This window comes from Homo sapiens, chromosome 10 (assembly GCF_000001405.40).
Source record: "Homo sapiens chromosome 10, GRCh38.p14 Primary Assembly".
NCBI lineage: Eukaryota > Metazoa > Chordata > Mammalia > Primates > Hominidae > Homo > Homo sapiens.
Window position 1 is genome coordinate 27074113 of NC_000010.11, and position 13809 is coordinate 27087921.

Sequence of the window (13809 nt, forward strand, 5' to 3'; positions counted from 1 at the left end):
AAAAAACAGCATTCTATAATCCCCCTAAAAGATCACACTAACTCTCCAGCAATGGATACAAAACAAGATGAAATCTTTGAAATACCAGATAAAGAATTCAAAAGGTTGATTATTAAGTTACTCAAGAATATACAAGGGCAAGGTAAAAACCAACATAAAGAAATTTTTAAAAACAATTCAGGATCTTAATGAAAAATTTTCTAAAGAGAAAGATATTTTAAAGAAAAACCAATCAGAACTTCTGGAAATGAAAGACACATTTAGGGAACTACAAAATGTAGTGGGGGGCTGGGCATGGTGGCTCACGGCTGCAATCCCAGCACTTTGGGAGGCCAAGGTGGGTGGATCGCTTGAGGTCAGGAGTTTGAGACCACCCTGGCCAACATGGCGAAACCCTGTCTCTACTAAAAATACAAAAATTAGCTGGACATGGTAGCGTATACCTGTAATCCTAGCTACTAGGGGGGCTGAAGCAGGAGAAGTGCTTGAACCCAGGGGGTGGAGGTTGCAGTGAGCTGAGATCACACTACTCCAGCCTGGGTGACAGAGAGACTCTGTCTCGAGGGGGGAAAAGAAAAAAAGTAGTGGGAAGTTTTAACAGTAGGCTATGCCAAATAGAAGTAAGAACTTTAGGGTTTGAAGACAAGGCTTTCAAATTAATCCAATCAGACAAAAATAAAAAGAATAAAATAAAATAAATAAATAAGATTAAATAAAAAGAATTTTTAAAAATAACCTGTAAAGGAAAACCTATCAGACTAACAGCAGACTTCTCAGCAGAAACCTTAACAAGCCAGGAGGGACTGGAGTCCTATCTATAGTCTCCTTAAATAGGAAAAAAATCATCAGCCAAGAATTCTGTATCAAGCAAAACTAAGTTTCATAAATGAAGGAAAAATAAAGTCTTTCTTGAACAAGCAAATGCTGAGGGAATCTGTCAATACTAGACCAGCCCTACAAGAAATATTTATAAAAGTTCTCAATGTTGAAATAAAAGGTTGATACATAACAGAATAGAAACTTCTGAAAGCATACAATTCACAAAGTTTATAAAACAATAACATAATGGAGGAAACAAAGTCACTAGGTAACAATCAACACAATGACTGGAACAGTACCTCAGATCTCAATATTACCATTGAAGTAAATGGTCTAAATGCTCCACTTAAAAGATGCAGGTTGGCAGAATGGATTTTTAAAAATCACAAGCCAAATTCTCTGCTGTTTTCAGGAGACACACCTATCATGTAAGGATTCCTATACTCTCAAGATAAAGGGGTGGAAAAAGATATTTCACACAAAGAGAAACCAAAAGTGAGCAGGAGTAGCTATTCCTATATCAGATAAAACAGAGTTTAAAGCAACAACAGTAAAAGTAGATAAAAATTGTCACTATATAACGATAAAAGGATCGATTCAACAAGAAGATCTAAGAATCCTAAATATATACGCACCTATCTTCAGAGCTCCCAGATTAATAAAACAATTACTACTAGACCTAAGAAAACCTAAGAAAAGAGATAGCCACACAATAATAGTACAGGACTTCAACACTCCACTGACAGCACTAGACAGGTCATCAAGGTAGAAAGCCAACAAAGAAACATTGGACTTAAACTGCACTCAAGAACAAATGAATCTAACAGATATTTACCAAACATTCTACCTGAGAACTGCAGAATATACATGCTTTTAATAGGCATATGGAACATTCTCCAAGATAGACCATATGATAGGCCACAAAACAAGTCTTAATAAATTTTAAAAAACTGAAATCATATGAAGTATCTTCTCAGACCACAGCAGAATACATAGAAATCAATTCCAAAAGGAACCCTCAAAATTATACAAACATATGGTAATTCCCATTTAACTTAATGATCTGCTCCTGATTTCGGAGTTAATAATAAAATCAAGAAGGAAATTTTAAAATGTTTTGAAATAAATAACAGTGCTACAAATTATCAAAACCTCTTACAGCAAATCAGTACTAACATCACACCTCAGGAAATTAGAGAAACAAGGACAAACCAAACCCAAAGCTAGCAGAAGAAATGAAATAACAAAGATCAGAGCAGAGCTAAATGTATTTATAACCAAAAACACAATATAAAAGATCAATGAAACAAAAAGTTTGTTTTTTGTTTGTTTGGTTTTTTTTTTTTTTTAGATGGAATTTCACTCTTGTCACCCAGGCTGAAGTGCAATGGCGTGATCTTGGCTCACTGCAACCTCCACCTCCTAGGTTCAAGTGATTCTCCTGCCTCAGCCTCCCAAGTAGCTGGGATTACAGGCACCCACCACCATGCCTGGCTAATTTTTCTGTATTTTTAGTAGAGACGGAGTTTCACCATGTTGGCCAGGCTGGTCTCGAACTCCTGACCTCAGGTGATCTGCCCGTCTAGGCCTCCCAAAGTGCTGGGATTACAGGTGTGAGCCACCGTGCCCAGTAGCTTTTTTTTAAAAGATACACAGTTGATAGACCACTAGCTACATTAACTAAGAAAAGAGAGAAGATTCAAATAAGCTCAAGTAGGAATGAATGTGGAGACAGTATAACTGATACCACCGAAATACAAAAGATAGCTCAAGACTACTATAAAAACCTCTATGCACACAAACTAGAAAATCTAGAGGAAACTGAAAAATTCCGGGAAACACGTAACTCCTCTAGCTTGAATTAGGAAAAAATAGAAATCCTGAACAGACCAGTAATAAGCAGTGAGATTGAATCAGTAATTTTAAAACCGCCAACAAGAAAAAAACCCAGGGCCACACGGATTCACAGCTAAATTCTACCAGACATTCAAAAAAGAACTGATAACAATTCTACTGAAACTACTCCAAAAGGTTGAGAAGGGGGAAATCCTCCCTAACTCATTCTATAAAGCCAGTATCACCCTAATACCAAAGCCAGAAAAGGACATAACAAAAAAAGAAAACTGCAGACCAATATCTCTGATGAATATAGATACAAAAATCCTCAAGAAAATACTAGCAAACCGAATCCAACAGCACATCACAAAGTAATAATTCACCATGATCAAGTGGGTTTCATTTCAAGGATGCAGGGATGGTTCAACATATGCAAGTCTTAAATGTGATTCATCACATAAACATAATTAGAAACAAAAACTGTATGATCATCTCAATAGATGCATCATTATGAGGATTGTTGGGGCAGGGGAAGGGTACATGAAAAAAGTTTTTTAAAAAACAACTTACCTTCATAAGACCAGGGTTTGCTAACGACTTGTGGGAAGGTTTTGGAAGAAGGTCAGGTGATTGATAGGTAGGATGAGAAAAGCACTGGACTTTGATTGATGTTGTAGGAAGGCTTTCAACCACAACTTCATCTTGACTATCGGAATCTCTATCCTCAAACAAAGTTCTATTTCCTGTTCTCACAGTGCCATATGTTGCTTCTACTACAGTAAAAACAAAATAAAGAGTAAATGAAAATATATGTAATTAAGAATCAGTGAATAACACAAGAATAAGCAGTTTTCAAACAGCTTACAATTTTTCCTGGATTGCTGAGAAGCAGTCATTAGCTTTGCTAAGCTTGGTTTTGGGACATTCTAGAAAACAAAAATAAGAATAACAAGTTTTAAAAAAACAAGTATCAAATTTGATAAAATAATCGTAATAGATAGTCACCATTACTACATGATCTAACACAAAGAACAAAGATTTTGGAGTCACTCAGATGTAGATTTAAACCTCAGTTCTGCCCTTTGCTACATCTTCTCATGGGGTAAGGATTATGAGAGATGATACAGATATCCTCCAAAGGTTACTCCCCTTACCCCTAATTGATTATTATATAAATACTATGATATCTGTTCGATTATTTTCTTAACCACAGTAGCCTAAAATGAAAATTTTTTCCTAGGTAGAGTATTATAAAAGTCAAACATTAAAACATTTAAATTAATTACATATTATTTTCTGAAATGTGTATGCATGATTTATATTTGCATGAATTACCTCTTGTGAGAAAAACTGTGAGCATTTTGTTCTTAGTATATTTTATGAAAGTGGGTTGGCACTGCAAATAGTATAGGCTGCTTCTATTCTGTCAAAAAGCTAAAAATAAATGATTGTATAAATTCAGCTCCTTACAAGAAACAGAGAAAAAAACAAAAATAATCCTTGTGGGGCAATGATTGCTGAACAAAAGCCACACATAACTACATAAATAGAAAGCTGCACCTAAATATGCTGCAAATGGAGACAGACATGGACTGAAATAACAGAACTGAAGAAATGTATTCTGCAAGGAAACATTTAGGCTGAGATAAATCATTTTTAAAAGATGAAAGAGTAGGGAGAAAAAAAATAGAGGCATGACCATTCGAGTGTGAGCTTAAGTCAAGGAAGAAAAGGAAAGGCTTTAAGTATACTAAGGCACACTGAGAAACACAGACCTGTAACAGACTTTTGTTCATAGGATATCCCTGATAATACTGATTAGTATTTACAACCAGTTTTTTAAAAAATACTTCTGTAGTAAACAGTTTAATTTTAAGTCATCCAATTAGTTAAAAATGATCATCTACTACTACCTGAAAGCTGTAACATTCTTACTACAGAGAGAGAAAAATGGAAAAAGATTTTAAAATCATAGTAGGAGTGCTTATCCATATAAACTTTGACCAAATTTCATATTTCCTCTATTGTAGGAAAACTTTTCCCAATATAATTTTCCTGTCACTATGTATTTTCCAGTATATTCTTTTTTTTGCAATCCCCACTCCCTCAAAGTACTTATCAATCCTTTGTTATTTACCAAAGTAAAAAAAAAAAAAAAAAAAGAATTCAACTGGCCATATTTCTATAAAATGGCTTCCCCTGACCACCTTTCCATTACAAACAGAAAACAATGATAAGTAGACCACTGCAAAATTTTAAGAGAATACTATACGAAACTAGATTCAGAGTAAGAAAATTAAGTTCATGAGAGAGCACTTTACCTTAGTATCAAAATTGAGGTCTTCGTCATCTGAGGTAGGCCATGAATCATCAACACCCGGTTTGCCAGAAAGCCTTTAGAACAAAAATATAGAAAAATGAGTGAATTCATTTCTTTAAAAACAAAACAAAAACCAGCTTACAATTTTCAATCTGGATGCCCCCTCCAAAAAAACAAAAACCTGGTGAAAGGTCAACTGTCTGCATATTAAATGATGTTTCTTGATCTAATTAAAATTTGATCTTGTTTTTGAAAAATATTTTAGTTACCAATTGCTGCCTCTACCTCTCCGAAACTATAAAATATTCGATAAAGACTCAACCTTAGTTCTATAACTAATAGTGACAGCCAAGATAATGGCAGAACCTGGGAATACTTTGTCTTCACAAATTGTCCCGAAGGCTGAACTGAAAATCCAATTAATGGCTGATATAACTTTCGTTACCTGAACCAGCACAAACCTGATAATCTAAAACAAGGTGGAGATCAGATGCGGTGGCTCGTGCCTGTAATCCCAGAACTTTGGGAGGCGGAGGCAGGAAGATAACTTGAGCCCAGGAGTTCGAGATCAGCCTGGCCAACATGGCGAAACCCTGTCTCTACTAAAATACAAAAATTAACCAGGCGTGGTGGCATGTGCCTGTAATCCCAGCTACTAAGGAGGCTGGGGCAAGAGAATTGCTTGAACCCGGGAGGCAGAGATTGCAGTGAGCCGAGATCATGCCACTGCACTCCAGCCTGGGTGACACAGCAAGACACTGTCTCAAAAAAATAAAAATAAATAAATAGGCTGGGCACGGTGGCTCATCCCTGTAATCTCAGCACTTTGGGAGGCCGAGGCGGGCAGATCACGAGGTCAGGAGTTCAAGGCCAGTCTGACCAACATAGTGAAACTCTGTCTCTACTAAAAATACAAAGAATTAGCTGGGTGTGGTGGTGTGTACCTGTGGTCCCAGCTACTTGGGAGGTGGAGGCAGAAGAATTGTGTGAACCCAGGAAGCAGAGATTGCAGTGAGCTGAGATCATGCTGTAGCACTCCAGCCTGGGCAACAGTGCAAGACTTTGTCTCAAAAAAAATAAAATAAAATAAAATAAAATAAATAAATAAATAAATACATAAAACAAGGTAGAAAGATACACTGTCCTTTCTCCACTATCTATCTCCATTTCAAAGACTAATATGTGTCACTCAAAAATGGCAGTCTTGGTTCTTCAACATGAAAACCACTTAAGGCCTCATTGCTTCCCTTCACCCTAAAACAGTATAAGGAGTCCCCTGAAATGTGTGAAATGTTTGAAAGCTAGATGGGCAAAAGTCAAAACACATACGTATATGCTGTTATTGGGACTACTCACCCCAGAAATATTAAAACATTAAAAGTTATAAAATCCAATTATTTTCCCTATAGAGGTCCTGCCTTAAACTAGCAAGCCCTTAAAAATCTTTACAGGCACTCAGATACCTAAAGAGAAAGAATGCTGGAGAAAGAGTCCTGGTAGTTGTACCTATATTTCCCTAAGTACTATCTAAACACCTTCCTTCCTATAAGCTCCCACTTACAGATCCCTCTTCTGCAGGGCTCCATAGCATCTCCAACCTTTAAGTCTTCAGCCTATGAAGGCACAAATTCCTGAAAGGATGGTCTCAAATGCCCAAGAGTAGAAGCTCTCTATATCTCTGCTCCTGGAAAACAAGCTAAATGGAGTCTCTGTCATCTGCCAGCAGCACAGGCATGTTAACAACTACCCAACTCCATGATTTGGGTTGCTCCATGACTGACTTGCCAGCTAATCCTACCCCTGCCCTACCCTACATGTCCATGAGAAGGACATCAGAGAATTGGGAAAGGAGGCAGAGGTGAGGGGACACCTGCCCTGGGCCACAGATCTATGTAGTTCAGCAGCCTCCAGCTCCAAAGTACTTGAGGGGCTCAAAGCCACCGATAAGTTGAGGCAGAAGTAGTTATAGTACATTCCTACTGGCTGTAGAGACTCTTCCCAGTGGCTCAAATTATTTTAACATTTTTCAGTAGAAACCTTGAGAGTTTGTCAGTTCCTCCAATTATATAAAAAAGCAACAACCTGTTCAGGACTCCCCTGAACCCCCTATTTTAATATGCCTTTCTAGATAATTCCAAACATCCTGTATCCTTCATTCCAGTAATTTATCATTATCGAACTTGTCAAAAACCCCAATATTCTGATCTCTTTTCCAAAAGCCCGGTTCCTATCCAACCCAGTGCTGTTTCTCTTCAAACCTGGCCTTCCTCTGCTAATTCCATTCTTTCCTTTTCCGCTGGGTTCACTAGATCCACTCACCCTTTCTATTATTAAAATATTAACCTGTAGGATGATAAAGAAGGAAGAGTACTGGGCTCTGAAATTAGTTTGAATATCATATCCAAATAAATCCCCTTAATCTCTTTGAGTTTCAGGTTCTCCATCTGAACCATTTGACCAAGATGTTAAACACAGATTGAAGTACTAGATGGCATTCTGATTAGTCTGATTCCTTAAAATCCTGAAATTCTAGGTGCTTTTGATTCTGTTGATAGGAAAATGAGGAATACTTAGCTGGCAGAAATGGAAAAAAATAATAGGAACACAGTTGGCTGGATAAAGAAAATGTGGTATAAATATTCCATGGAATACTATGCTTTTTTTTTTTGAGACAGAGTCCCGCTCTGTCACCCAGGCTGGAGTGCAGTGGCGCAATCTCGGCTCACTGCAACCTCCGCCTCCCGGGTTCAAGCCATTCTCCTTTCTCAGCCTCCTGAGTACTGGGACTATAGGCGTGCGCCACCACGCCTGGCTAATTCTTTGTATTTTTAGTAGAGACAGGGTTTCACCGTGTTAGCCAGGCTGGTCTCGATCTCCTGACTTTGTGATATGCCCACCTTGGCCTCCCAAAGTGCTGGGATTACAGTTGTGAGCCACCACGCCCAGCCCTATGCAGTTATTTAAAAAAAAAAAAAAAAAAAAAAAAAGGGAGAGAGAGAAACAAAATCATATCCTTTCCAGCAACTCAGATGGAGCTAGAGTACTAGCCTAAAGGGAAAACCAAACTGGGAAGTCAGTAGGTAGAGAAATAAACCAGAAATATCCTCTAACTGGATGCTAAATATAATTAACACAATATGGTCTATAGGTAAATAGTTTTCACTTACAGTAAAATAATTCCTTTATAGGACTTGTGTGGTCTGCTTATGTAAAATGTATGGCCCTGTGGCCACAGCTAAGTGAGATCTGGCCTAAAACCTTTGATGATAAAGTCAAAGTACTAATTACCACTGCAATTATCAAGCATATTAGGACAAATTGTTGGACTAACCAGGCTCCTAAGAAAAACTCTGAGAGTTAACATAGAACTAAATGTAGGTCTCTGAATTGATCTGATTTGGACCTGTACCTTGATCCAGCACCGCACAGGTCTCTATCAATCTATGCTGAGGGGCAAGAGAAGGGATTTGGGAGCCAAGCAGGCTGATGGTCAAATCATGGGTCAGCTGCTTGCTCACTGTGAGGTCATGGGCCAATTAATCAACCTCTCTGAACCACACAGTTGGGTTGTAATATAGCACAGATACTTTGCAAAGCTGTTGGGACGACTATATGGAGAAGCACATAATATGGTGTCTACCCAGAGTAGGGCACTCAACAGTTTCTTTTCTCTGTATTCCTTTAAATATATTTTTAAAAATCTGTAAAATACTACCTGCTTAAGGAGTCTTCAGAGCTTTCATCCACTATTAAAGAGAAAAGTAAAACACACTTTAAATCAACAATAGAAAAATATATAAAATTTAAAGCATAAGACTGATAGTTTGTTACAAAGTATCCCTCTGGGACCATATCTGGAGACTATAATAGAATTAATATCCTCTATAAATATTCCATTATACTCACATGTATAGAAAAAAGTTAATCTTCCCTGCAGACCTGCCACTCTTCTCTACTCACCTGACAATTTCCTACTCCTCATGTCCAGTTTAAATGCTTGTGCACAACCTGGAAACCTAGGAATCAGCTGAGATTTCTCTCTGCCCCCTAACTTTTTACACTCAATAATCACTAAATCCTATTAACTGTACCTCTCTTCTGCCTTTGCCTTACATTTCCACTACTCCTGGAAATATAAACATATTTACTTAATGTGTTATTTACTTAATATAATATTTACTTAATATGTTTATATTTCCTAGTTAAACATGCACTCTTAACTGATAGCTTTCACAAGGAAAAAAAACCCATGCACTCTTAATGTTATTTCTTAAATGAAAAAAAAAATTTAAGCAAAACTAATAAAAAAGTTATAACATGAAGAAAAAGACCAACATTTTAAAATAAATAAACTGGCCAGGTATGGTGCCTCATGCCTATAATCCCAGCACTTTGGGAGGCCAAGGCAGGAGGATCACTTCAGGCCAGGAGTTTGAGACCAGCCTGGCCTAACATAGTGAGACCTCATCTCTAAAAGAATAAATAAAATGAAATAAAATAAAATTAATAAACTGAGCTTCCTAACTTTATGTATTTCACCATGGATGGTGAGAACCTCATAATGGATAAATACTAGTCCAAGGATTAGTGACAAAAAAACTATGGCTTTAACTACTGCAAAAGCTTCCTTGTTTCCCAATCCCTTTACATGGTTACCTTCCATCTATCCTGTATATAAGAGGCCAGCAAACTAGAGGCCACAAGCCAAATCCAGCCAGCCATACGGTTTTGTAAATAAAGGTTTACGGAAGCACAGTCATGTTATTCACTTACATATTATTTATGACTGCTTTCACATTACAATGGCAGGGTTGCATAGCTATGACCTAAGTTGCATAGCACCTAGGCCGGGTGCAGTGGCCCATGCCTGTTATCCCAGCACTTTGGGAGGCTGAGGCGGGCAGAACATGAGGCCAGGAGTTCAAGACCAGCCTGAGCAACATGGAGAAACCCCGTCTCTACTAAAAGTACAAAAAGTAGCCAGGCATGGTAGCACGCACCTGTGATCCCAGCTACTCAGGAGGCTGAGGCAGGAGAATCGCTTGAACCCAGAAGGCGGAGGTTGCAGTGAGCCTAGCCAAGATCACACCACTGCACTCCAGCCTGGGCAACAAGAGCAAAACTACATCTCAAAAAAAAAAAAAAAAAGAAAAAAGAAATAAAATGTTTGCATTCTGTAACGTTAGAAAAATGCTTAGTATCTAAAAGATACTTGACAGTTATTTGCTAAGTAAACAATTATAGAAATCAATTAAAATACTTTCATTGAAAAAACACAAATGAAATAGAACAGCTCTATTCTATTATGAAAACTTTGAAGACCAAAACTAATCTGTTCCATATTCATATTTCTTGCAACTTGCAAAACCTAACCTATGAAAGTTCTTTGATAAATATGTACCAAATTAAATGTGTCTTCATGCAGTTCAGATTATAAAATGCATTTGGTGTCACATCCAGGTAGCATAGTAGCATTTTTGTTATGGCGAAACATTTCTGGCCAGGTGCGGTGTCTCAAGCCTGTAATCCCAATACTTTGGGAGGCCAAGGCGGGCAGATGTCCTGAGTTCAGGAGTTCCAAGATCAGCCTGGCCAACATGGTAAAACCCTATCTCAACTAAAAATATAAAAATTGGCTGGGCATGGTGGCGGGCACCTGTAATCTTGGCTACTTGGGAGGCTGAGGCAAAAGAATTGCTTGAACCCAGGAGGCGGATGTTGCAGTGAGCCGAGATCGCACCATTATTGCACTCCAGCCTGGGCAACAAGAGTGAAACTCCATTTCAAAAAAAAAAAAAAAAAATTTCTGTACTTACTTTTTTTTTCCTGTTTTTTTTTAGAGTCTCCCATTGGACATTTTTGTACTTTCATTATAATTTGTTGAGCGCAGAGTTGAGATATTTGAATATTCATTATGATAATCTTTTGGCTAATGATAACAGAGTGTTTCATTCTAGCAAGATTACTGTTATCATGACAATTATTCAGCAGACAGAAGAACACACTTGTTTTTTTTGTTTGTTTTTTTTTTGAGATGGAGTCTCGCTCTGTCACCCAGGCTGGAGTGCAGTGACACAATCTCGGCTCACTGCAACCTCTGCCTCCCAGGTTCAAGCCATTCTCCTGCCTCAGCCTCCTGAGTAGCTGGGGTTACAGGTGTGCGCCACCACGCCCAGCTAATTTTTGTATTTTTAGTAGAGACGGGGTTTCACCATGTTGGCCAGGCTGGTCTCGAACTCCTGACCTCATAATCCACCCGCCTCGGCCTCTCAAAGTGCTGGGATTACAGGCGTGAGCCACCGCACCTGGCCAGAAGAACACATCTTGTTCTAACGAAGTAAATGTATCTCATTCTATTTCAACTTAGGCTGAATAAAGTCAGTAATAATAAGATTTTGTTGGTATAAGAATAAGTAACATGACTTGTGCTTCTCAACAAGGAATTGTTTTTCTGACTTCTGTATTCAGTATCTTTAAAAAATAATTTCCTATTGGTATTGGTGCACACTGGCTAAGTTCTGCAGTTCTTATTGCCATTTGTTTATGGTACCAGAAAGGTACTGTTGAGTTCCCCCTTTTAAAGATAGTTAATTTTTAGTGACCCAAATCACTATGTAATGACCCTTGAACAATATAGGTTTGAACTGCACAAATCCACCTATATGTGGATTTTCTTCATCTCTGCCACCCCAAGACAGCAGGACCAACCTCTCATCTTCCTCTTATTTCTCAGCCTACTCAACATGATGACAACCAGGATGAAGACCTCTATGATAATCAACTTCCACTCAATGAGTAGTAAATACATTTCTTCTTCTTTAATGATTTTCTTAATCATAATTTCTTTCTTGTAGCTTACTTTACTACAATACATTATATAATACATATACATAATACATGTTAATTGACTATTTATATTATCATAAGGCTTGCAGTCAACAGTAGGCAATTAGTAGTTAAGTTTTGGGGGACTTGAAAGTTAGTGCAGATTTTCAGCTGCACAGGGATCACCAGTCCTAATATGCACGTTGCTCAAGGGACAACTGTAATTAATATTCATTTAATAAACACAAACCATTTATTATAAAAATTAAATAGAAGATCCATTTTTTATAACAAGTCTAGTTCATTATAATGTAATTATAAAGGAAACACATAACATACTAACTTAAACACCTTTTTTATTTATACAAAAATTTCATATAGGAATTTAGGGATGATAATTAAGTAAATGAATTTTTTTCAGATAGTACCATTTGGCATCATAAATATCTACATGTAACTTCTTAAATAATTCTGAATTCTAGATTACCAAGAGAAATTAAGAAAAAATACACATGCACCTTATACACTGATTTTTAAAACTGCTTTTCTGTGATCAACACTTCCTTACTTTTACTTTTTTATCCATGGTACTATTACCAAGAGAAATTCACTATTGGAAGTCTTACCTGAATTACTATTTTGAGAAGAATGTTTAGGTATCCTTTCTTCTTTATATTCTGAAATTAGTTGGTGACTGCTATGTATAGAAAAATGTAACAAAATTATGTTAATACTGATACAAAAAATATTTACCAAATATCTCAAAATCTTGAGTATTTCAGCCATTATCAGAGCTAACAGCAGAATTTTAATTATCCCATACACTTCAAATATGTAAGCTCTACAAACTTTTTTGTTTTTTTTTTTTTTTTTTTTTGAGACAGAGTCTTACTCTGTCACCCAGGCTGGAGTACAGTGGTATGATATTGGCACACTGCAACCTCCGCCTCCCGGGTTCAAGTGATTCTCCTGCCTCAGCCTCCTGAATAGCTGGGATTACAGGTACCCGTCACTACGCTCAGCTAATTTTTTTGTATTTTTAGTAGAGACAGGGTTTCACCATGTTGGCCAGGCTGGTCTTGAACTCCTGACCTCATGATTTGCCTGCCTTGGCCTCCCAAAGTGCTGGGATTACAGGCGTGAACCACTGCACCCAGCCCAAACTTCTTATTAAGCTTCAAATTAAAGGAGAAAAAGATTAAAGTGAAATAGTTATGAAGTGAGGGCAGTGGAGCTCAGCAAATTAACTAGAGTTAGCTTGACATAATGGAAAGTGTCCTGAACCCAGAAGAAGTCCTGGCTCTGTAACCAACAGCTATTTGTTCTTGGACAAGAGGCTTCCCTTAGGCTCAACATCTTCTTCTAAAACATAAGGATTTTACTGCCTTATTTCACTAGGGTTATAAAGATTTAACAAGATAACACTTTTCAAATGCTCAGAGAAATAGTAAAGAAATGGAATAATTTGTTCCTGAATTTTATTGCTAAAACTATTTTGGAATCCCAAATAAAACCCAATTAAATGTTTCTCCAAAGGTTCTAATATTCAAATGTTGCCATTTTCAGAAAATGTTACTAAGTCCTAATTTTGGTTATTAGTTATTCTATTCTTTGTGGTTTCCAATCCCAGTGAATTTCATAATTTGTAACTGAATTCACTTATAAATATAGCATCTCATTAAATTAGATAACATAATTGTCCCTTATTACTGAACTAACTGATCACAGCAAGGGCAGAAAACTAACAGATGTTAAGGCCTGGTTTAGACAACGACTTTTGCTTCTCTACCTCCTCAAACTCTGAACCAGCAGATCTTTGTTAGAACGGTGCTTAATCTTCATGTTCATCATTCCAACTGACGTGGAAAACAAAACTCTACTTTTATTTAGAGACAAGGTATTCTATCACCCAAGATGGAGTGCAGTGGCATGGTCATAATCCACTGCCGCCTGGAACTCCTGGGCTCAAGCAATCCTCCTGCCTCAGCCCCACGAGTAGCTAGGACTCC

The 13809-nt window shown here is 37.4% G+C and overlaps 1 protein-coding gene across 19 annotated transcripts in view, besides 1 other annotated feature; it reads right to left on the minus strand.

Moving 5' to 3' along the window:
- Positions 1-13809, minus strand: part of ANKRD26 (ankyrin repeat domain containing 26) — a 152913-nt gene that overhangs the window by 126531 nt on the left and 12573 nt on the right. For all 19 annotated transcript variants that reach the window (XM_017015929.2, XM_047424821.1, XM_017015928.2 and 16 more), the window contains exons 5-9: positions 12427-12497; positions 8691-8721; positions 4977-5049; positions 3521-3581; positions 3226-3428 (exon numbers count right to left, since the gene is read on the minus strand). In XM_017015929.2, the coding sequence (XP_016871418.1) occupies positions 3226-3428; positions 3521-3581; positions 4977-5049; positions 8691-8721; positions 12427-12497 (439 nt within the window). The remainder of the gene's footprint in view (positions 1-3225; positions 3429-3520; positions 3582-4976; positions 5050-8690; positions 8722-12426; positions 12498-13809) is intronic.
- Positions 3905-4074: an enhancer, noted in NCBI's record as "experimental_11814 CRE fragment used in MPRA reporter constructs". NCBI's record gives its function as "activates a minimal promoter by MPRAs in K562 erythroleukemia cells, with activity observed for both the introgressed and non-introgressed 10:27367031 variant alleles {active_cell/tissue: K562}" and the evidence as "EXISTENCE:reporter gene assay evidence [ECO:0000049][PMID:34662402]".